Source organism: Homo sapiens, chromosome 1, assembly GCF_000001405.40.
Source record: "Homo sapiens chromosome 1, GRCh38.p14 Primary Assembly".
NCBI classification, from domain to species: Eukaryota; Metazoa; Chordata; class Mammalia; order Primates; family Hominidae; genus Homo; species Homo sapiens.
Genome location: NC_000001.11, coordinates 5,766,037 through 5,790,282, shown reverse-complemented (window position 1 = coordinate 5,790,282; position 24,246 = coordinate 5,766,037). Strand labels below are relative to the sequence as shown.

The 24,246-nt window shown below is 50.0% G+C and overlaps 5 annotated features.

Annotated features, from left to right (window-relative positions):
* Positions 21,499 to 22,146: an enhancer, noted in NCBI's record as "H3K27ac-H3K4me1 hESC enhancer chr1:5828197-5828844 (GRCh37/hg19 assembly coordinates)". NCBI's record gives its function as "activates a minimal SCP1, AML or CMV promoter by ChIP-STARR-seq in primed H9 embryonic stem cells {active_cell/tissue: H9 hESC(primed)}" and the evidence as "EXISTENCE:reporter gene assay evidence [ECO:0000049][PMID:30033119]".
* Positions 21,499 to 22,794: a biological region, named in NCBI's record as "H3K27ac-H3K4me1 hESC enhancers GRCh37_chr1:5827549-5828196 and GRCh37_chr1:5828197-5828844".
* Positions 21,980 to 22,274: a silencer, noted in NCBI's record as "tiled region #8508; K562 Repressive non-DNase unmatched - State 20:ReprD". NCBI's record gives its function as "represses a minimal TATA promoter and a strong SV40 promoter by Sharpr-MPRA in K562 cells {active_cell/tissue: K562}" and the evidence as "EXISTENCE:reporter gene assay evidence [ECO:0000049][PMID:27701403]".
* Positions 22,147 to 22,794: an enhancer, noted in NCBI's record as "H3K27ac-H3K4me1 hESC enhancer chr1:5827549-5828196 (GRCh37/hg19 assembly coordinates)". NCBI's record gives its function as "activates a minimal SCP1, AML or CMV promoter by ChIP-STARR-seq in primed H9 embryonic stem cells {active_cell/tissue: H9 hESC(primed)}" and the evidence as "EXISTENCE:reporter gene assay evidence [ECO:0000049][PMID:30033119]".
* Positions 22,795 to 23,442: an enhancer, noted in NCBI's record as "OCT4-NANOG-H3K27ac-H3K4me1 hESC enhancer chr1:5826901-5827548 (GRCh37/hg19 assembly coordinates)". NCBI's record gives its function as "activates a minimal SCP1, AML or CMV promoter by ChIP-STARR-seq in naive H9 embryonic stem cells {active_cell/tissue: H9 hESC(naive)}" and the evidence as "EXISTENCE:reporter gene assay evidence [ECO:0000049][PMID:30033119]".

The window sequence follows — 24,246 nt, the reverse complement described above, 5'->3', positions numbered from 1 at the left end:
TTAAATTTATTTATAAATAATAATAATATTACTAACATTTTATTGGGGGACCTGCCCCGATAATCACGTAGGTTCTTTTCTATTTTCCTAAGCGTTGGCTGGCTTGAGAAATAAAGGGACAGAGTACAAAAGAGAGAAATTTTAAAGCTGGGCATCTGGGGGAGACATCACACATTGGTAGGATCCGTGATACCCCACAAGCCGCAAAAACCAGCAAGTTTTTATTAGGGATTTTCAAAAGGGGAGGGAGTGTGCGAATAGGTGTGGGTGACAGACATCAAGTACTTTACAGGGTAATAGAATATCACAAGGCAAGTGGAGGCAGGGCGAGATCACAGGACCACAGGACCGAGGTGAAATTAAAATTGCTAATGAAGTTTCAGGCACCATTGTCATTGATAACATCTTATCAGGAGACATGGTTTTGAGATCAACTGGTCTGACCAAAATTTATTAGGCAGGAATTTCCTCTTCCTAATAAGCCTGGGAGTGCTGTGGGAGACTGGAGTTTATTTCACCTGTGCAATCTCGACCATAAGAGAGAGGTATGCCCCAGGGAGGGGTGGGGGGCAGTTCAGAGACCTTCCCATAGGTGCACATTCTCTTTCTCAGGGACGTTCCATGCTGAGAAAAAGAATTCAGCGATATTTCTCCCATTTGCTTTTGAAAGAAGAGAAATATGGCTCTGTTCTGCCCGGCTCACTGGCAGTCAGAGTTTAAGGTTATCTCTCTTATTCCCTGAACAATTCCTGTTATCCTGTTCTTTTTTCAGGGTGCCCACATTTCATATTGCACAAACATACATGCTGTACAATTTGTGCAGTTAATGCAATTATTACAGGGTCCTGAGACGATATACCTCCTCCTCAACTGACAGGATTAAGAGATTAAATTAAAGACAGGCATAGGAAATCACAAGGGTATTGATTGGGGAAGTGATAAGTGTCCATGAAATCTTTACAATTTATGTTTAGAGATTGCAGTAAAGACAGGCATAAGAAATTACGAAAGTATTAATTTGGGGAACTAATAAATGTCCATAAAATCTTCACAATCCACGTTCTTCTGCCATGGCTTCAGCCGGTCCTTCTGTTTGGGGTCCCTGACTTCCTGCAACAACATTGCTAATATGTTCATTTATTAAATTTATTTATCATTCATATTATATATGTATGGACTTACAGTTTTCTTTTTTTGATGGACTATAATCCATGTTATTTATTTTTCTGCTCCAATTGTTATAGATTTGGCTCTGGAGAGCCCCTTCCAGCTGGCCCTGACCCCTTCTGACAGCTTAGCACCCCCTGTGAGTGCTGCCTTCTTCCAGCCTTGTCCCACACCCTGCTTTCCCCTGGAAGTGCTGATGAGACTTTTCTGGGTCCTCAGATACTGATCACAGTTCAGGGACCTGGGACCTCAGTGCAGGATCTTCATGGGCTGAGATGGATGTCTCTCTAATAGCCCATGTTGGTGGAGATTGGCAATTTTGTCTTTTGGAGGTGTGTGTTTGTGTGTGTATATAGGATATATAGGATCTATATTTTCTGTCTTCAGGTTTGGAGCATGGTGGGGTTAAACACCAACTCTACTCTGATGAAGCTGCCTTGAAACCGTTAAGTTGGGTAAACACTTGGCCACAGTGCATCCATGTTTGACTTAATCCTTCTTCACAGAAGAAGCAGCTTTTCTTTTTTTCTTTTTTTGAGATGGAGTCTCACTCTTGTTGCCCAGGCTGCAGTGCAGTGGTGCGATCTCGGCTCACTACAACCTCCGCCTCCCAGATTCAAGAGATTCTCCTGCCTTAGCCTTCCAAGTAGCTGGGATCACAGGCATGCACCACCATGCCTGGCTAATTTTTGTACTTTTAGTAGAGATAGGGTTTCGCCATTTTGTCCAGGCTGGTCTTGAACTCTTGACCTCAGGTGATCCACCCGCCTTGGCCTACCAAATTGCTGGGATTACACGCGTAAGCCACCGCGCTTTTCAAATCGATGCCTGCACAGTGTAGCCAGCATGGCAGGGGCTGAACAATGGTTCCCTCCCTGTCTTCTCTCTTGCTCCAAGGGCAGAGATTCTTGTTAGGTTTTCTGTAGGCTCTGGATATCCCTGCAGAGTCTCCTGCCCACAGATGCTAAGCAGACATTGGCTAATCCTTTGGGTTCCTTTTCAGTCAGCATTTATGTGTCTGTGTGTGTACATATGTGTATGGCATATATGTGTGGCTGCATGCATATTATATATGCACATGTATGTGCATGTACACACATGCATATGTGCATGGGTGCATGTGTGTACATATATGCACATGAGTGCATAGGCATGTGTGCCTGTGTGTATGCATGAGTGTGCATGCATGCACACATGAATGTCCATGTAAGAGGCTATGTGAAGGACTAGCTGATCATTGGCAAGAGGAGTCGCATCCAGGCTGCTGTGGAGAGCTCTTCAGTGCTGGGGTGCTTTTCACCCATCTGCAAGAGCAGTCATTTATTAGGGTTAAAAAAGAAACAAATTCTTTCTGTGTAGCGTGTGCCAAAAATAGGCACAGACATTTTTAATGTAATGTCTCTGGGAGTAAAGAACAGATTGTCAGTAACGTGAACCTGCCATTCCTTTCATCTGAGAGTGTGTCCCCAATCCCTGGGGGCATTCCAGTCCAGAGGAGACCCCTAGGTAGTTCGGACAGGCTGACCTCTAAGATTCCTTCCTGCTCTGAGGAGGCATGGCTTCCTCAGATACTGTCAAAATCCTGGGAGGAGGGTACCTGGCAGAGTTAGCCATGGCACCCCCAGCCCCCTCAGCACTCCAGTCCCCACCTGAGGTCCCAGGGAAAGACTGGGATGCTGCTTTTCACTAAAGTGGAAATGAATGATTAGGCTGTGTGTCTCCTCCAAGGCTCCATTTTTCTTGCTTTTTAATGTCTGCCGAGTCCTTCCATGAGCCAGCCTCAATGTCAGATTCCTTTTGTGACTTGTCTGATTAAATTTTTACAGCCTCCTTGGGGGATGTGTGTGTGTCCCTATCACTCTCACAGGCCAGGCAGGCGAAGATCAGGGAGGTCAGTGATTTCTTCTGAATTTGTCCCACCAGGGAGAAACTGCCCGCCTGAATTCCGCACCAGCCCTGCCTGGGACTGTAGAGCGAGGTGTGGCTGCTTCTCGCCCTCAGTTTCTAGGCCAAGGACTTTTGGCCAGGGTGAACTGGCGGCACTCAACCCTCCCTCCCTCCTTCCCTCTTTCCTTCTCTACCTGCCTGCTCCCTCTCACCCTCCTTCCTTCCATTTGCCGAACACTCCATGTGTTGGGGATTTAGCAGTAACCCCCGTCCCCACCTTTTCCCTGTCCTCCAGGGGCTGCTGGTGTGCAGAGGAAGGCAGGAGACAGATCCTACCCACACTGTCATGCGTGTGTGCTTTGGTGTCCTAGAAGCACAGAGCAGGAGCCCTGAGCTCAGCCCCAGGTGAGAGCATCCAGGAGGCTTCCTGGACGAGGGTTCCCGGAACGCTCCATTCGCCCTCCCACCTCAGGGCCTTTGCACCTGCTGCTCTTGCTGCCTGGGACATTTTTCACCTGGGGATTTGTGTGGCTCCCTCCTGCCACCCTAACCACCACAGGGAAAACTGTCTTCCCTCTAGCCCATCCCTGCTCACATATACCAGCTCACATCCACATATATTTAATACTAATGATTTTCTGCCCCCTACCAACTAGATCATAAGCTTTCTGAAGGCAGGTGTTTTGACTGCTTTCATCGTGGGCCGCCTGGGTTCTGACCCCGGACAGGTGGAAGGAACTGGGCCATTACTGGGGTCGTGGGAAGTGGGGTGCTGCTCATAGCCTGCCTGTAGCCGGGGACCTCTGATTCACCTGCTCACAGGTGCAAACACCACCTCACCCCTCCGAAATTCCCACGGGCACACGGTGCTTCTCTGGTGCAGCTGTGCCAAGGGTGGTTCCTGAATGGTTACGCGTTTGAGACAAGATAAGCACAGAAACTGAGAAGAAGCATTTAGAAACCTTTGTAGCAATTTTCTGGGTAATTTTATGTCTGTTGAATCTAATAGAAAAATTTGGGCTTGTGTTTTGTGTCTCTTTTCTTTTTCTTTTTCCAGTCATTCATTTTTGTTGTATTTTACAAAAGTACTGGTTTGTGACAAATTGAAAATAAAAAAAAGTGTCCTTCATCACAGATAACTTGATAAGCGGTGCTTTCAAGAACTATATCGTTTACACTGGACAACATTTAGGGCATGTTTGTGGCCCTAGATGGTGGCTAAAACAGGATGCCAAGGGAATGGGGGTGAAAGGGATGATTTGGGGACAGGCCATGAGCAGCTGCTGTAGGAGCTGGTCCGTTAACACCTGGGGTGACTTCAAATCTTCCAATGTCTGAAAGGCTGTCTTGGGAAGGGCTGACCAATTCTGTGTGTAGTTAGAATTTTGTCCCCAGAAGACACTTAGAAATATTCATAGGATGAAAATGTGAATTAATGAATACTGTGTACTGAATGTGAGTGTGAATTAATAAATAATGAATGTTTCGTCCCTCCGTCCATCCATCCACCCATCCATCATCTATCTGTTCATTTATCCATTTGTTCCTCCATCATTTATTTAAGCATCTATTATTTAAGCATTTATTAAGCACCTGTTATATCTATTATGGTCCAGGCGCCGTTCTAAGGGCTGAAGACGTAACAGTGGACAAAGCATACCAGTTCCTGCCCTCTTGGTCCTGACATCCTGGTTGGGGAGGAGGGCAGCCAGGCAAGTCATCGAGAGCCATAGTTGCGCTTTGTGCTAAGAGCTATGAAGGAGAGAGAATGGTGGGTGGTGGGTTGACTTTGGACTGGATGGCTGGAGAATCTTATCCAAGCAGATGGCTTTCAGCCTGAGACCGGAGTGTGAGAAGGATCCACCCCCATGAGCATCTGGGGAAGGACATATTGGTGGAAGAGACAGAGAAGTGTGTTCAGGAAGCTGAGAGAGGGCACGAGGCACTTGGGTGGGATGCAGTGTGGCTGTGGGATTAGGTGAGGCCAGACTGGGCCAGGCCTTGAACATCACAGTAAGTGCCATGGGATTTTTTTTTTTTTTTTTTTTTTTGCAGGTGCAAAGGGAAGCCTCTGGGGGTTAAGCCAAAGGAGTGGCCTGGTCTGACCTAGACAGACATATGTTTATTTTAGATGGGACAATTGGCCTGGTAAGGACAGTTGTCTAATAATACAGTGAGCTCCTGGCCCTGCAGGCATTTCAGTGGGATGTGGTGAACACTGGCCAGGCATGTTCTGCCCCTGAAAGTGGCTGGGGCTCTCCTGAGGACCACGCTGCCGCCCACCCCCCCCCCCACACACACACTTCTGGGTTCCCGGGACTGGAAAGCCGGCCAGGGGTCACAAAGCCAGTGCCTGTGCCAGTGAAGTGGGTGATGATGTGGCCAGGTGAGAGTGCCCGTGTGGCACTGTGGGGCCAGGGGGACCAGGGCAACTGTTGGGTCTCTCTTGCTGATGGCCCTGTGGGAGGGTGGGCTGGTGGCACCACATCTCTAGCTTGTACAAGAGAACTCAGAGGTTGGGATTTTATTTTATTTTTATGTTTATTTATTTATTTTTGAGATGGAGTCTTGCTCTGTCACCCAGGCTGGAGTTCAGTGGCACAATCTTAGCTCTCTGCAACCTCTGCCTCCCAGGTTCAAGTGATTCTCCTGCTTCAGCCTCCTGGGTAGCTGGGATTACAGGCACCTGATACCACACCCAGCTAGTTTTTGTTTTGTTTTGTTTTGAGAGGGAGTTTTGTTCTTGTTGCCCAGGCTGGAGTGCAATGGCGAGATCTCGGCTCACTTCAACCTCCACCTCCCGGGTTCAAGTGATTCTCCTGCCTCAGCCTCCTGAGTAGCTGGGACTACAGGCATGCACCACCATGCCTGGCTAATTTTTGTATTTTTAGTAGAGAGGGGGTTTCACCGTATTGGCCAGGCTGGGATTCTTTTTGGGGAACAAACAAGCAAACTTGTCTGACATGTAGGCTTGTCTGGGATTTGGGTTTTTAAGGCCTCATGACTCAGTTTACTGGCCTGTCTCCTTGTGGTACTTCCCAGGTCCTCTCAATTAAAAGTCATGAATAAAAATAAAAACAGCTAGTCATGTGGCAGGCACTGCCCCAAGCGTCCTAGGTACATGTTAGTTCACTTAATCCTCCATTCCACCTACCAGGCACATACTATTATTTATTTTTTTATTTATATTTATTTATTTTTTATTATTATTATTATACGTTAAGTTCTAGGGTACATGTGCACAAAGTGCAGCTTTGTTATATATGTATACATGTGCCATGTTGGTGTGCTGCACCCATTAACTCATCATTTACATTAGGTATATCTCCTAATGCTATCCCTTCCCCCTCCTCCCACCTCACGAGAGGCCCCGGTGTGTGATGCTCCCCTTCCTGTGTCCATGTGTTCTCATTGTTCAATTCCCACCTATGAGTGAGAACATGCGGTGTTTGGTTTTCTGTCCTTGTGATAGTTTGCTCAGAATGATGGTTTCCAGCTTCATCCATGTCCCTACAAAGGACATGAACTCATCCTTTTTTATGGCTGCATAGTATTCCATGGTGTATATGTGCCATATTTTCTTAATCCAGTCTATCATTGATGGACATTTGGGTTGGTTCCAAGTCTTTGCTATTGTGAATAGTGCCGCAATAAACATATGTGTGCATGTGTCTTTATAGCAGCATGATTTATAATCCTTTGGGTATATACCCAGTAAAGGGATGGCTGGGTCAAATGGTATTTCTAGTTCTAGATCCTTGAGGAATCGCCACACTGACTTCCACAATGGTTGAACTAGTTTACAGTCTCACCGACAGTGTAAAAGTGTTCCTATTTCTCCACATCCTCTTCAGCGGGCAGGTACTATTATTTACACCACTTTGTAGATGAAGAGACAGAGGGGTAAGGTTTCTGTAAGCTTCCCTGAGTCCACAGACACCAGGGGAAGGACAGTGCCGGAGCCTGGTACCATATTGCCTGGAGACGGCACTCAAGTATGAGGCTCCACCATCCCAAGCAAACTCTCCTCATTTGTCTTCCAGTTTTGGGATGAAGAGGTAACAGAGACCTTACAAAGAAACCTTATAACCATTAAGCAGTCCTTCTCTATTTCTCCCCTCCCCTAGCCCCTAGCAACCACTAATCCGATTTCTGTTTCTATGGATTTGCCTATTCTAGATGTTTCACATGAATGGAATCACAAAATATGCGACCTTTCGTGACTGGCTTCTTCCATTCAGCATAATGTCTTCAAGGCTCATCCAAGCTCATCCAAGACACATCAGAATTTCCTTCCGTGATGGCTGAGTAATATTCCATTATATGGATGGGCCATACTTTGTCTATCCATTCATAAGTCTTAGGTTGTTTCAAGGAATGAATTTCTACTGTGAAATGTCTGGCATCAGGCTGGGTCCCTCAAAATGCCCCTTCCCTGATGATGTTCCCTCCTTCCTCCCCCCGGACCCTGCCTTCAGCTGTGGGTTATAGCTGGGGTGTGGATTCTGGCTGTAGGGGCTGCTCCGGCTTCCTGACTTCCAGCATCATCTGGTACAAAAACCAAACAAACAGTCTGATGTGGTGGCTCATGCCTGTAATCCTAGCATTTTGGGAGGCCAAGGCCAGAGGATCACCTGAGGTCAGGAGTTCGAGACAAGCCTGGCCAACATGGCAAAACTCCTTTGCCACTAACAATACAAAAAGTAGCTGAGTGTGGTGGTACACACCTGTAATCCCAGTTACTTGGGAGGCTGAGGCTTGAGAGGCGGAGTGTGAGAAACAAACTCACCCATCCAAACCCAAAGAATGGACTCAGAGACCCGGCGAACAGTGAAAGTGAGACTTTCGATGACAGTTTTGCAAGATCGGGTGTCTGATGGGCAGGCACACCCAACTGCCACAATAAGCAATTTATCCCCTAGTGCACAGGCCCCTCCCTCAGTTCCTCATAGGGTGAGTACTATGGGGTCACAATCTTCCTGGACGTCACCTATTGATTGTTGGGTTGGGGCTTTAGGTATTTTTTTTTTTAGGGTTGTCCCGCTCCATTTTGTTGCAGCCCACAATGCATTGCAATCCTGGTCAGCTCAGGGGCTCTTCAAGTATTTGACTTATGACCTAAGTAGCTGGGCAGGGTGATAAGAACAGACAAAACGAGCTATTTTGCAGGCTAGTAAATTTAATCTTAGACTAAACTTCTTTGGTTTGGATGGGGGCAACTAAGGGGGGTGTGGACGGGAGAGCCCAACAAGTAGGCATTGGCTATCCAAGCAGGGGCCTAGTATACTTTAATTCTGTAGTTTGCTGACCTAAACCAATTCAAGGCACTTTGTCTTGGAAATGGACTACTGTATACATTATTTCCTTTGTGGAGGTTGCAGTGAGCCAAGATCATGCCACTGCACTCCAGCCTGGGTGACAGAGTGAAACTCTGCCTCAAAAACAAACAAACAAACAACAAAAGACCATACACCTAGGCATATTTTAACTACATAAAAGCAGAGATCGAGATAAATAACTTTCTTGAGAGATGCTGCTGATTGCTTTGGAAGTTGCAAACCAGAGGTGCTGATCAGGATTTGAAGTTTTTTAAGCTTGGTCTCAATCTCATCTTCATGAAACCAAAACATGTATTAAAAAAACAAGGCGAGCCTTGGGGGGTGAGATGGGGGATGGCTGCTAGAGTGATCACTCAGCTGCTTCCTCCTGGCTGGAGGCCAAGCCACCAGGTCCACTCTTAAGCTGCAGCGGGTCCCGATCACAGCCCCCCACCTCAAAGGCGAGGATGCAAGGAGCAGATAATTCCAAGTAGTTCAATTCATTTCTGCTGGTGCCTGAAGTTGTGATTGATGAGAAATCTCTGTAAAGTTCACCCAATTCTGCTCTTAAGATTCAAGGACTTGAGCGTGGGTGGGACGGAGGGGACATGGACAGGAAACTTGTTAATGGAGAGTGGAGGTCACTGTTTCTCCGCACTTGGGGATGCCAGGGGCCCAGAGAGCCCAGGCCACACGGTCCATGCCTTGAGGTCTGCACTGCCTGGGAGCAGTGCCCTGGACCCTCCTGACCCCAGGCCCTGCTCATGCCTCCTCCTCCAGGAAGCCATTCTCACTTCCTCCATTCACAGGAATGACTGAATTGAGACCTGCAGCAGGGAACCTGCGCAGAATGGGATTGACCATGTTACAAACCACGCCTCCTGTGGGTTGCTGCAAAAGGCCCAGGTTACAGTTGTCACACACAGAGGTCTGGACTGGTGACACATAGGACTCAGGTGCCCAGAGAGGACATCAAAGGCAGAGCTCTGCTTGCAGTGGGGATGGAACAGGGCCCCTTCCTGAGCTGTGCTGCTCCCCACCCTGCCCTCACCAAGGGGGCAGCCCCCTCTGCAGAACTGAGGGTGCCTTTTACGAGGGGATGTGGCTTCACTTGCCCACTGGGCCCTCTCACCTGAGTCCTCTAAGATGCCTGGGTGGCCAAGGACAGGAACTTCTATTTTCATTTTCCTTGGAAGGAGTTGAGGGAAGAGTTCCACCCAAAGTCATGGGAACTTCATGCCTCCCCTGAGGCTCCAGTCCTTGCTGTTGCCCCGAGGAGGGAGTTGCCACTGGTTAAGAGCCTGGGCTTTGGAGTCCAGGGTATTCTCATGCTGAGCAAGCTACTGCCCCACTATGGTGTTGAGCAAGCTACTGCCCCACTATGGTGTTGCGCAAGCTACTGCTCCACTATGACCCTCAGTGTCGTTTTCTGTATGATGGGGATAGTAATATACCATAGGGCTCTGGGGAGCAAAGGCATATCTAAGTAAATTTGCTATCATAGTTCCTGGGAGTGGTAAGTGCTAGATAAACAGGCCAGTATAATTGCTCGAGAAACTCAGTTATCATGTGGGGTCACTCTGCCTCTTGGGTTTTGGAGAAAATTTACCCTTCCTGCTTCCTGCCCTCTCCAAAGGGTGCCTCAAAGTCACGGGGGCTCTCGTTTCTGCGGCTGGCCCCCAACTCTGGCTCTGCTTTCCTGCTTTGCGGGGTCTTCCTGCTCAGAGTCTTGCAGCCCCTCCTCCACCTCCACAATGGCGTCAAGCCAAGCACGGAGAGCTCCCACCGCTGGCCCTGATGCGCCGCCATTTTCCGAGCGCGGTTTACTGCAGATACCACCCTGAACATGCCCGGATCGTGTCAGAGCACAGTTTAATCCTCCCCACTGCCCGGGAGGTGTGTACACATTTCTTATCACCCCCATTTACAGATGAGGAAACTGAGGCACAGAGATGCCAACATTCAGCGAGGAGGGGGTCGATCTGGGATGCCAGCATTAGCTGGGTGCTTTCTAAGTTACTCTCAGCTGCTGCGCTTCGTTGCTGCAGAGAACTTACATCTGCCCCAGTCCTTTGTGTGTGAGGCAGGCGTTCCAGACGCACAGCTCCAAATGAGTAATACTCCCCCAGGCAAAAGGCACATGGCCTGCCCCACGCGGCTTGCTCCTCCCCTCCAGACCAGCTCTCTCCATTTCCCGGGCCTTCCCCTGCACTTTCCTGGTACCCTCAGGTCTCCCTGCAGGATTCTCACTGGACAGGTTAGCTTGGTCCCATTAGTGCCCCCTGCTGAGTGGCAGGACCATCCCCTCCAGGCCCCAGCTTCAACAATCCAGAAGGTGGAAGAGGCCACGGGACACTGGCCACTTCCTTTCTCTCTTTCCTACCAATATCCATGTAGGATTTTTTTTTTTCTTACTAACTGTGGCAGGAAGAATTATGAGAAGTCCTTGTAAGAGGCTGAATGGTGGCCTCTCCAAAGATATATCCACGTGCTGTGAGTGTGATCTTAACCGGGAAAAGAGTCTTTGCAGATGTAATTAGGTGAAGGGTCTTGAGCTAGCACGAGCCTGGATTATCCAGGTGGGCTGTAAACCCGGTGCCAAGTGTCCTCATAAGAGGCACACAGAGGAGAGACAGGTGGAGAAGAGGGGGAGGCCACGTGAAGATGGGGGCAGAGACTGGAGTGATGCGGTCACAAGCCAAGGAGTGCCTGGGGCCACAAGAAGCTGGGAGAGGCCAAGAACTCCGGAGCAAGTGGGACCCTGCTGATACCTTCATCTCAGTCTTCTGGCTTTTGGAACTGTGAGACAATAAATTTCTGCTGTTTTAAGCTTTCAAACACGTTTCCAAGTTAGTGGTATTATAATTTTCTGAGCAATTCATATAGCCCCATATTAATTTGCTACAGCTTCTGTAACAAATCACCACAACCTTACTGGCTTAAAACCACACAGATTTGTTATCTTACAGTTCTGGAGGTCAGAAGTCTCAGAAGGGCCTCACTGGGTTAAAATCAAGGTGTTGCAGGCTGGTTCCTTCTGGAGGCTCCAGGAGAGAATCTGTTCCCTGACTTTTTTTTGCAGCTTCAAGAGGCCACGTTCATCCCTTGGCTCCTGGCCCCTTCCTCCATCTTCAAAGCCAGCCATGCAGCATCTCTTTGACCCTGTTTCCATAGCCACATGTGCCTCAGACCGCGGCCAGGAAAGAGTCTCTGCTTTTAAGAACTCATAGGATTACTTTGGGCCCTCGTGGATAATCTGAGATCATCTTCCACCTGGAGTTTCTTGACTCTAATTATGTCTGCAAAGTCCCTTTTGCTCTGTAAGGTCACATGAGATTAGAATGTGGATTTCTTTGGGAGCCATTGTTCTACCTTCCAGAGCCCACAGTATTCCCACCCCTGGTGTATCATCCCTCAGCCTGAGCATGTGCAGAACTAGGAATGAGTTAAATTTCACTCCTGTGATAGATTTTATGTCACTTATAGGACAAAGGTGAAGGGATCTTAAAGATGCAATGAAAGTCCCAAATCAGTTGACCTCTAGTCAACCACAAGGGAGATCATCCTGGGTGGGGCTGACCTAATCAGCTGAACTCTTGTATTAGTCCATTCTCATGCTTCTAATACAGACATACCCAAGACTGGGTAATTTATAAAGGAAAGAGGTTTAATTGACTCACAGTTCAGCATGGCTGAGGAAGCCTCAGGAAACTTACAATCATGGCAGAAGGGGAAGCAGACATGTCCTTCTTCACATGGCAGCAGCAAGGAAAAGGGCTGAGCAAAAGGAGGAAAAGCTCCTTATAAAACCATCAGATTTCATGAGAACTCACTATCACAAGAACAGCACCAGGGTAACCACCCCCATGATTCAATTGCCTCCCACTGGGTCCTCTCTCGACCCATGGGGATTATGGAAGCTACAATTCAAGATGAGATTTGGGTAGGGACACAGTCAAACCATGTCAACCCTAAAAAAGGGACAAGGGCCTCCTTGAAGTCAGAGGTTCAAAGCACGAGAGAGATTCTCCTGCTGAGAAGAAGCCAACTTCCATATTGTGAGGAAGCCAGGTGCCCAGGAGCTGAGGGGGGGCCTGTGGGAGCTACAGACCTCAGTCCTACAGGTACATCCTGTCAACAAGGTTAACGGGGTCAGAAGAGGGCTCTGAGTTTTGCATGAGAAGGCAGTGGCTGCTGTCTTGGTTTCAGCCTGTGGGATCCCAAGCAGAGGACCCAACTTTGCCGTGCCCAGACTCCCAACCCGTGGATGCTCTGAGAGGATGAAACTCTGTTGTTTGAAGCCGCTAAATTTGTATTAATTTGTTATGCAGCAAGAGCAAAGGAATATAGTGATATAAATTATGCTGTCTCATTTAGAAGTTAGATGTATGTAGCTATAGTCAGTTTAGGTTTTAAATAATTTATTCTCTCTGCTTTTTAAACTTTAAAGTCTTATTCTGAAAGGGTTGAACCTGTGTTCCTGAGTCCTAGCTCTGGGCCCTCTGGGCTCCTCAGGGCCTCCTCTTCCCATGTGCGGATCTTGTGGCTTCAAAGACCTTTGGCAGGTTCTGGGGCAGCCCACGATTGACTTCCGCTCATGCCCCTTCCAGAAGGCTCTTCAGCAGATTCGGATTTAGGTTCTGTTTGACTTTCAGAAGGCTGCAAAGTTAACCACTTCTTATATAAAAAAAATTTAAATTGAGAAATTGTGCAGGCTTTTTTTTTTTTTTTTTTTTTTTTTTTTTTTTTTTTTTGATACAGGCTTGCTCTGTCGCCCAGGCTGGATGGAGTGCGTTGGTGTGATCTTGGCTCACTGCAACCTCCACCTCCTGGGTTCAAGCAATTCTCCTGCCTCAGTCTTCCTAGTAGTTGGGATCACAGGCATGTCCCACTATGCCTGGCTAATTTTTGTATTTTTAGTAGAGAAGAAGTTTTGCCATGTTAGCCAGGCTGGTCTCGAACTCCTGAGCTCAGGTGATCTGCCTGCCTTGGCCTCCCAAAGTGGTGGGATGACAGGTGTGAGCCATCACGCCTGGCCCTGACAAATAATAATTGTGCAGTTTTTAAAGGTAAAGTTAAGACTTTCCTCACCGAAGCCTGGCTGTTAGCCAGGGGGCTAGTCATCCCCTAGTCTGGTCCCTTTTCCCCAGCTGGTCGGTGAGAGAGGACTCACCTCACCTAGCGGGTAAATCCTTGTCTGCCTGGAAAAGGATCAGAGGTGTGGCCCAGTCTATTACATGGCAACGGCCCAGCGAGGTGCAACCGGCCTCAAGAATGGATTCTTTTAAGATCAGAGCTGTCCATGATCAGACACAAAATCTTTCCCCAACATGAGCAAACTCTCTGAACTGCCCCATCACAGCCAGACCAAGGGGCTGAAGGAAACAACTCCACGAAAACCACATTTGACAAGTTGCTGAAAATAAAAAATAAGCCTCGGTCTGGGAAATGACAAAGGCCTCAAACAGTCATTGTCAGGACATAATAAAGCTGAGATGGATGACGTCGCAGCGAAATTTGGGTGCGTGTCCCCGGTGCAGCATGCGAGGCGGCCTTGGGCCCATCCATCTCTCTTTCCCGGTTCCTGAAGACAGAGCATGAGAAATGGCCAGGGAGGGAATGAGTAAACATCACATCCTTCACTTCCCAAGAGTGCAGGGCTCTGGCTTGCTCTGACACAGACCCAGATGAAGACAGGTGACCTGGTGAGGGAGAGGCAGAGGAGCTGCCCACACCCTTAGCTCCTCTATGGGGCCCCAGAGGTTTCTGGGAGAAATGGCAAGAACAGGTTCTGGGCCTGTGTGATGGACTTTAATTTCATAGCAGTGGTGCATTGGAGCTGTCTTCGCCCACTGCGGTGCCTCCTGACAGCTGCTCCTCTCCCCTCTGGAGCATCCCCGGCCCTGTGCACCCTGAGTAGCTGCCTGTTTTCTGGCCCATTTAGCCCCACTGGGCTTCAAGTCTCCACGGCAGTAAACTTATTTCATCTCCAGCCCTAGTGCCCAGCAGAGACCCTGGCACATAGTAAGTTCTTAATAAATGATTGTTTGACAAAGGAGGTGACTGCAGGAGGGACAGTGGGGGTTGTCCATTCAGGCCCTGAAATGCACGTGTGTGTGGGGTGCAGCATACATAGCGAAATTGACCATTTCAGCCACATTACAGTGTACAGTTCAGGACACTCGCATGGGTGTGCAGCCATCACCACCACCTGCTAAATTTTGGATATGTGTCCCTGCCCAAATCTCACGTGTAAATGTAATCTCCGGTGGAGGTGGGGCCTGGTGGGAGGTGTGTTGGTCATGGGGCACCACACCAATCCCTCATGACTTGGTGCTGTCCTTGCAATAGGGAGTGAGCGCTCGGGAGATCTGGGGCATCCCAATTACGCGTGGGGCACCCCCTCATTCCCCGTCTCGCTCCTGCTCTGGCCACGTGACGTGCAAGCTCCTGCTTCGCCTTCCGCCATGAGTCAAAGCTTCCTGAGGCTTCCCCAGAAGCAGATGCCACTACACTTCCTGTTCAGCCTGCAGAACCATGACCCAGTTAAGCCTCTTTTCTTATAAATTACCCAGTCTCAGGTATTTCTTGACAGCAATGCAAGCATGGCCTAATCCACCATCCAACTCCAGAACTTTTCTTAACTTCCGAAATGGAAACTCTGTCCCCCTTAAATACTCACTCCCCATTTTTCCCCTCCCCCAATCCCAGCAACTTTGAATCTACTTTCTGTCTCTGTGAACTTGGTGATGCTAGGGACCTCGTAGAAGTGGAATCATACAGTCTTTTGTCCTTTTGTGTCTGGCTTGTTTCATTTAGCAGGATGTCTTCAATGTTCATCCACGCTAAAGCATGTATTGGAATTCCCTTCCTCTCTGAGGCCGAGGAGTATTCGGTCATGGGTTGAAATGCACTGTTTGAGCTGTCTGAATGGGATGAGAAGGTGGGGGCGTCGCTGAGCTCAGGGGTGTTCTGAGCAGGTGGGGCTTTGCACCGAGCTCGCCAGGTTCAAATTCTGCTCTTCCTTTTGTTTCGGCAAATCATGGTGCTCTCTGAGACCTGAGAAATGGGAGCGGAGGCTGGTACACCGCCTGGGGCCACTGTGAAGATCCAACAATGGCTGCATAGCAGACTAAAGGGAGCTATTTTTGCCACGAAAGGAGGGAAAGCTGGGATTGGCCATTTTGGACTTTGTTGATTGGAAGTGGTGGCAGCAGAGAATGGAAGGTCCCTGAAGTGGGACCTGCTGTTGCATTTCCAGCTGCAGGTGGACTTCCAGCTCCAACTAGAGCCCCTGGTGTCTGTCCTTCTCCAGCTCTGTGCTCCCCACAGCGCTGTCGGGATCAGCTCCTGTGGACCCCCCTCCGTCTCCCATGAATGTCCCGGGCCTGCCTGTTTCTCATCGGTGGCCAGACAGTGGCAAGTCTTAGTGACAGGGCATTTGGGCTAAATTAAAACCAGCGACCTGCAAATGAAGGGCCCCAAATCCCATTATCTGCTCCATAGCCATCTCAACCTCTCTGTCTTCTCTCCCTTTAAGGTTGGGGCCTGTCAACAGCCATTAGAGCTGCTTGGTTATGAATCTGTCACTTGGCTGGAAACGCGGCTTCATTTTCAGCAGACTGAATTTGTCTCCGCATTTGTGCAAGTTATTTTTTTTAAAAGTAATTGCCCGTTTTACCCCCATTCTTCTTGTCTGTGTTGTGAATGTTCTTATTTAAAGTGAAACCGGGGAGCTATTGTTAGCCGAGGGATAGATCAAGGGACCATACAAATGTGTCAAAATGTGCCATGACAAATCTAGGTTATTTTTCTGCAAAGATATTTTGCAGGCCTGGATTGAAAGTCAAATGGAGCTTCAAAGTGTACCAAGTTCAAAGTGTTTTCATGGTCTTTGATGAGAGGCGGTGCATTCATCCGATCCGACGGGCGGCTTGGCATCGGGCAACGGGGGCTGGCATGCAGACGGGCCTCCGTGGAGTCCAGGCTGCTTCCCTGGGGAGGGTGAGAGCCATAACGGGTACAGACCAGGGGGTAGGGAAAAAGCAGGCCTTCTTTGACAAGTCAGAGCCAATTGTGATGAGGGGGTGGCCCAGGACAGAGAGCGGCCGGGCTGCAGACCTGCTCTGTGGCTGTGCCTCTGCCTGACTTTGGGCAAATGCCCTTCCTTCCTAGGCCTCAGTCCACATCTGTGAAATGGGAGGCCTGGGTTTCATGAGTGCTGGAATCCGGCAGACTCTAGACTTCTCTGTTTCCTGGTGAGGCTCCCAGGTCTGGTGAGGTACAGGTGGCTCTGTGACCCCTGCTCTCCAGTCTGGATCTTTATTCCAAGACTGCTTCTTTCTGCAGGAAAAACTGGGCTTCCTATTGGAGACTTGGTCCTTGAGGAGGCCTTTAGGGAGGTGCATGGGCCCGTGGAGGGACTGGGGTTCTCTGAGTGCCTCTCCCACTGCAAGGGTCCTGGGCCTGGGGCTGTGTGCTGGGTCTGGCTCCTAGAGGGTTTTCAAACAAACATGTTTTGAGTCATTGTGTGTTTAAATTTATTTATTTATTTATTTATTTATTTATTTATTTATTTATTTATTTGAGATGCGAGTCTCACCCTGTTGCCCAGGGTAGACTGCAGTGGTGCGATCTCGGCTCTCTGCAACTTCTGCCTCCCAGGTTCAAGTGATTCTCCTGCCTCAGCCTCCTGTGTAGGGATTATAGGTGCCTGCCACCATGCCCAGCTAATTTTTGTATTTTTAGTAGAGACGAGGTTTCACCATATTGGCTAGGCTGGTCTTGAACTCCTGACATCAGGTGATCCACCTGCCTTGGCCTCCCAAAGTGCTGGGATTAAAGGTGTGAGCCACCGCGCCCAGCCTGTGTTCAAATTTAAAAGTAACTTTCTAACTTTAAAAAATTAAGTCAAAGTCTATCTTTCTTTTGAAAAACAGGCTGGTGTGGCTACACTAGACCTGTATTCCTCCGTGTTTCCAGTCACCTGGATCTGAGAAGTGGCTGGCCTCTTGCTTTTTTTTTTTTTTTAAAGGACAGGATCTTGCTCTGTCACTCAGGTTGGACTGCAGTGGCATGATCATAGCTCACTGTAGCTTCAAACTCCTGGGCTTAAGCCACCCTCCCACCTCAGCCTCTTGAGTAGCTAGGACTATAGGCATGCACACCACGCCTGGCTAATGTTTTAATTAAATTTTTGTTTTTTTTGTAGAGACAGGGTCTCACTATGTTGCCCTGGCTGGTCAAGAACTTCTGGTCTCAAGCCATTCTCCTGCCTTAGCCTCCCAGAGTGCTGAAGTTACAGGCATGAGCCACCCAGCCTAGCTGATCCCTTTAAACAGGACATTCGCTCAGGTTTGCCACAATCACCAGTGCTCCCTATAGCACCCCCAACAGTGAGCCCACGTCTGTTGCTGTTTTTCACTAGCCCTGGGCTGTTTGTCTGGCTCCTTGGGCATTTGAGTTTTCAACCCCGTGTGGTGGAGTGTGGCTAAGGTTGGTCACCCTGGAGTCCAATGACCTGAGTCTAGACTCTAGTTCTACTGACAGCCAGCCAGGGCACTGTGGGCCGGCCACTAGGTCTTCAAGTGTGCAGTGCCTACAATGCTTTCAACCCTAGAGAGTTATGGGGAGCATTAGCAAGATAATAATTCATGTGAAGAAGCAGGGTTAGTCTATTGCCTGTCACATGGTAATAGTAATATTGCTATATGTTAGAAAGATAACAACATTATATACACAATAACAATATAACATATCATATAATAATTATAATACAGCAACAACAGCCAGCATGGGTAGTGTATTTCCTATGCAGGCACTGTTCTAAGTGTTGGCACATGGCAATGCATTGAATCCTTATAACATACCCTTGATGCAGAGCCTATTATTGGCATCATCTCCCCATTTTACAGATGATGAAACTGAGGCCCAGAGAAGTTGAGATGCCTGACCGTCATCCACTAGAAAGTGGCAGAGCTGGGATTGGAATGCAGGCTGTCTGGCACTCAGCTGTGTGCCTTCAATACGCCACCAGGCCAACCTTTGCTGCAGATCTAAAGCTTGATGCTATCCCCAGGGAGAAGCCAAGCCCAGTCTTCTTGCAGCTTTAGTGAGTCTTGGATGTTGGTCTTTCTGGACCATCTTGAATGAGCTGGGACTGGGTGGAGTGCGGGGGCTGGTAAAGCAGCAGAAGCTTGGGGATGCTTGGAGAAGCCTGCTGAGACCCTGAGTAGCTGTGATCTTCTGCAGAAGCCCCACCTCTGGTTCCCACTGGCCCCCATGCCGGGCCATCTGGCCTCTGTTCCAGCCAGGCCCCCGAGCCCCTGACAGCATCCTCAGTGATAACACAATTAGGTGATTTCTCTTGCCTATGGGAATTTCCAGCAGGATGCACTGAGCATGATCCTTGGATTTCCAACCTGCTGTTGCAACTTCCTATCAGAGCTCCTCTTGCCAGGAACAAAGCGACAGCCGTCTGCTGGTGAGCTGGGCTAATCCTGTTAAACAATTCACAGATCTGACGCCGGACACGCTTTTTGAAACCTGAGGGTACGTACTGCAAGTCGAGTGCGAGTCTCGCGTTACTTTCAGAGGCTCGCTGCCCCCCCAGGGCTGAGGGGCTGGTGAGAGAGCCGGGCAGATGGCAGAGCTTGCGTGCAACTTCACTGGCCGGATTCCTGCTCACTGCGAGCAAGCACTTCTGCTTTCCCCACTGAAGTGCAGCAAAGAGACAGCACATGAAAGGGAGAAGTTGCCCCTCGCCTCTCAGCCGAGGCCCCTTCCTCCCAAGCCAGCACAGAGATAGCCCTGCACATTCTTGTTACTCCGCCCAAGGCCAGCTGGAAAGAAGTGGAGTCTGGGCCAGGTCCCTGAGTGCCTGGGGAGGTGTGGCCCGGTGGTTAGACAGGCAGTAGGGGCCGAACTGAGCTGGACCAGAGCCTTCTCTGTGGCTTTGGGCCAGGGCCTTGCCTTGCTGGCCTCGGTTTCTTCATCTGTTGAATTGGATGGTAGTTGTGCCGATCTCCTGGGGAGGTGAGGAGGTCTGGAGTGTCAGGTGTCCCCCAGCAAAAGCATGAAGGCTCGGGGTGTGCAGGTAGAAAAGTGGGGGAGTAGAAGAGGTGTCTAGTTCATCATCCCAGATAAGACTGGCTCTGAACTTGGAGGAGTCGGGGGTCCATGGGGGCTGTTAGAAAGGGACACTCAACAGAGACATGAAATTCTAACTAAATGTCCAGGGGGTGTGAGCCTTTTGCAGCCTAAGAGTCCCCAGAATACGCTGGAGATCCTTCCTTTTTTTTTTTTTTTTTTTTTTTTTTTTTGAGATGGAGTCTCATTCTGTCACCCAGGTGCTGTGTGCAGTGGGGCGATCTTGGCTCACTGCAACCTCCACCTCCCGGGTTCAAGTGATCCACCTGCCTCAGCCTCTCAAAGTGCTGGGACTACAAGCGCATGCCACCATGCCTGGCTAATTTTCGTATTTTTAGTAAAGATGGGGTTTCACCATGTTGGCCAGGCTGTTCTCGAACTTTCAGCCTCAAGTGATCCACCCACCTCAGCCTCCCAAAGTGCTGGGATTACCGGTGTAAGCCACTGCGCCCACCCTGGAGATCTTTTGGGTGCCCAGGGAGACATCCCAACACCCTCAGTCCCACCTGTCGAGTGTCCCAGTCACGGGATCCAGAGCCTCCCCTTTTCGGCCCTTCCTTTTCAGGCAAGGTTTTGATTCTTGTTCAAACACATCCTATGCTCCATGAATTCTGATTCTCATAACAGCCTTAAGGGGAAAATATTCTTATTATTCCTGCTTTCAGATGAGAAGATGGAGACTGAGAGGGTACAGAATCTGCTCAGGGTGATTCCTGTGGCTGGGAAGGCTCAGAGCTGGGAGGTGGCCCTAGCAATACCCCTCAGAGCCCACAGCTGCGAACACCACGGAACCCTGCCTGCCAGGCCCAGCCAGCCTGGCCGCGTGTCCCAGGCATTAAATCAGTGTCTGTTGAGTTAAACTTCTCCTGGCTGTTGGGAGCTCACTCCACTCCTCTCCCTTTGGAGCTTTTGTCTCTCACTGGCTGTGCCTGAAGCCTTTGCCTCTGGTTCCTGGGAGGTGTGGGGTTCTCCTGTGGCTGTGGGCACTGGGCACCGGGCACCTCAGCGTGGCATGACGTAGTGGGACTGGACATTTCACAGCCAAGCCCTGATGCTTCCGTGATGTTGCCTCTCTGGGCATTTAAACTCATTCCCAGAACAATTTCTATGAAGCTTTTGAAAGTTGGAAATGGGCTGGACCACCATAAAATTAGTTCAGATAGAAAATATTTTGTAGAGAGCCTCAGACTTCTCCTTCCCCTTTAGAAGTGATTTTCTTGTTTGAGGGGAACAGAGAGAGGCTTGGAACATCCAGGTCAGCCTGTTCTTTGGGAAGTTTTACAAAAGGCCAGAGGCATGTTCTGAAGAAAGCAACCAAGTTGCAAATCTCGTCTCCGTGTGGTGAACTCTGAGCCACTTGGAAAAGATCAGAGGCCGCTGCATTTGTTCCTTGGCCTGGAAAGGCTCAAAGCCAAGGTCGGCAAAAGTGATCTCATCTCCAAAAATGTCCTTCAGAATCAGGATGGAGCTGCGTCAGGCAGCGGGAGGCAGATGAGGGACTGGTGACCACTTTGTTGGGGGGCCCACTCACCTCTGCTTCCATCTAGCCTGGGGTCCCCTCCTCCTCTTAACCAGGCTGTGGGGAGGGCCGGGGAGGTGGAGCTGGTTTGGACAGTGGCCCAGGGCGGTGGGCTGGGGGGTAAATGGCTCTCTTGTAGCTGATGCCAAACGCTTGTTCCTTTGCCTGGTCTCTTCTACACCAAGCCCCGTGTGTCTGTCCCTGAAGGCAGTCTCAGTGCTGGGGCTTGAAGGGAGCTTCCCCCAGATGAAACCCTGTCTCTCGACCTTCTCTTCCATCCATTGAGCCTGCTTGGACGCAGTAAATCAATGAACGACCCTAGTGTTTGCTGTCCCGGGTGAGCCGGCAACCATGGGTCATTGTTTCTGGAGAGGACCAGGTGCTCTGAACAGGCAGCTCTGGGCCTACACCCCATCTCAGGTTGGGTTTCCCAAGAGCTGACACTGAGACAACACTGTGAACAGGAACACTGATGCAGAAGCTGATTCCAGGATTCATCTATGGGAACAGGGGCATGAGACAGGGCCTGGAAGGAGACGATGAGGGGTGTGATGAGTTGAGGCCATCAGGGCTCAGTCCCTCTGGGGACGACAGCGGCATGGTGTAGAGCAGTGTCCTGAAGCCCCCGGGACCAGTGCAGATTCTGGCTCTGCAGGTCTGGGGTGGCCTGAGACCCCTGGAGCAATGCAGGTGCTGTTGGTCCAAGGTCCACTCCAACTGGAACGCACCTCAGAGGTACTGCGTTATTGGGGTTGAAATGTGTCCCCCTGAAACATATGCTGAAGTCCTCACACTCGGTGCCTGGGAATGGGACCTCATTTGGAAACAGAGTCTTTGCCGACGTGATCGAGTTAAGACAAGGGCATACTGGGTTAGGGTGGGCCGTGGTCCAATGACTGGTGTCTTTTCAAGAACAGGAAAGGAGATACAGTCATGGAGGGAAGATGGCCATGTGAAGAAGGCAGAGATTGGAGTGTTGTTGCCACAAGCTGAGGAATGTCTGGAGCTGCAGGAGCCCGGAGGAAGCCGGGAAGCATCCTTCCCTAGTGCCTGCAGAGGGAGCCTGGCCAGCCGACACATTGATTTCTGACTTCTGGCCTCCAGAGCTGCGAGCTACTCAGTTTCTGTTGTTTTCAGCCACCCAGTTGTGGTGACTTGCTGCGGTAGCCCCCAGAGACCAGGACGCCAGCCCAGGGATGAGGGTGCTGGTCCTGGGGGTGTCAATGCACTGGCACATCCCGCTTGACCCTGGAGTGGCCAGAGAAAGCCCTGGGCAGAGGTGTGGGCAGAGGTGGCAGGTGTGGGCAGAGGTGGCAGGTGCTGGCAGAGGTGGCAGGTGTTGCGGGAAGTCAGGGACCCCGAACGGAGGGATGGGCTGAAGCCGTGGCAGAAGAACATAAATTGTGAAGATTTCATGGACATTTATTAGTTCCCCAAATTAATACTTTTATAATTTCTTACGCCTGTCTTTACTGCAATCTCTGAATATAAATTGTGAAGATTTCATGGACACTTATCACTTCCCCAGTCAATACTCTTGTGATTTCCTATGCCTGTCTTTGCTTTAACCTCTTAATTCCGTCATTTTCATAAGCTGAGGACGTATGTCACCTTAGGACCCTGTGATGATTGCATTAACTGCACAAATTGTTTAAACAATTTGAAATCTGGGCATCTTGAAAAAAGAACAGGGTAAGAGCGATGTTCAGGGAACAAGGGAGGTAACCTTAAAGTCTGGCTGCCTGTGGGCTGGGTGGGACAGAGCCATATTTCTCTTATTACTGAAAACGGGTAAGAGAAATATCGCTGAATTCTTTCCCCAGTGAGGAATATTAATAATTAACAGCCCTGGGAAAAGAATGCATTCCCAGGGTGGGGCCTCTGAAATGGCCGCTCTGGGGGTGTCTGCCTTATGCAGATGTAGATAGGGATGAAACATGCCCTAGTCTCCGGCAGCGCCCCCAGGCTTGCTAGGATTAGGAAATTCCAGCCTGGCAAATTCTAGTCAGACCTGTTTTCTGCTCTTGAACCCTGACAATGCGTGCACAGCGGGACATGGAAGTTCATTAGTGGATTCTAGTTTCGCCCTGACCTTCTGCCTTGTGATCTTTTGTCGCCCTTGAAGCATGTGATCCCTGTGACCCACACCGTATCCGTGCACTCCCTCCCCTTTTGAAAATCACTAATAAAAACTTGCTGGTTTTGCGGCTTGTGGGGCATCACGGAACCTGCCGACATGTGATGTCTCCCCCGGATGCCCAGCTTTAAAATTTCTCTCTTTTGTACTCTGTCCCTTTATTTCTCAGACTGGCCGACACTTAGGGAAAATAGAAAAGGAACTATGTGAAATATCGGGGGTGAATTTCCCCCGATAGGCAGGTGCTGGCAGGGGGCAGGTACGGGCAGAGATAGCAAGTTTGGGCAGAGGTGGCAGGTGCGGGAAGAGGCGGCAGGTGCGGGAAGAAGCGGCAGGTATGGGCAGAGGGGGCAGGTGTTGGCAGGGGGGCACAAGTGGGTAGAGGGGCCAGGTGTGGGCAGATGAGAACCTTTGGGTGGTTGCCCAGAAGCAGTCAGCACTGAGGCGAGGTGAGTGGGCCCTGTGACCCCTGCTCCCATCCTGCTCAAGGTGGGCCAGGCCCTCTCCTAGGGGGTAATGGGCTTGGTGTCCTGGTCAGGGCAGTGGACAGGGCAAGGAGGGGGGTGCTGACAGCTGGGGCCAGGACAGGGCTGACTGGTTGGGAGGAGGTGCCCCACCCACTGCCCTGTGCATACATGCTGCCCACACCTCCCTGGCTTGTGGGAGGGCTGCCCTGGGGAGGGTTGGGGCAGCCGGGGACCCGGGAGGAGGGGAGGTTTGAACCCAAGGGCCCTGGCTGAACTCCCGCCTCCCCTGCTAACTTGCATCTCTGAGCCTCAGTTTCCTGGCAGCACACGAGTGCAGTGACACAGGCTGTGGGACTGAGGGCCAGGGATGGTGCCCATCTTTGCCTAGGACTGGGCCCGGCCTGGGGGAGAGGGCTCATCCGCAGAATGAAAGATGAAGTGGAAGAACCTCCTGGGAGCTGGCAGTAGGGCAGAGCCTCCTCCTGAGTTCCCAGCCCAGCACGCTGGGGAAGATAAGCTCCCAGGGATAGCCTGGCAGTCCACATGGACGCCTCTGTCACCTCCTGGCCCAGGTAGACTCTGCTTCCTCCAGCTTCCTGTTCC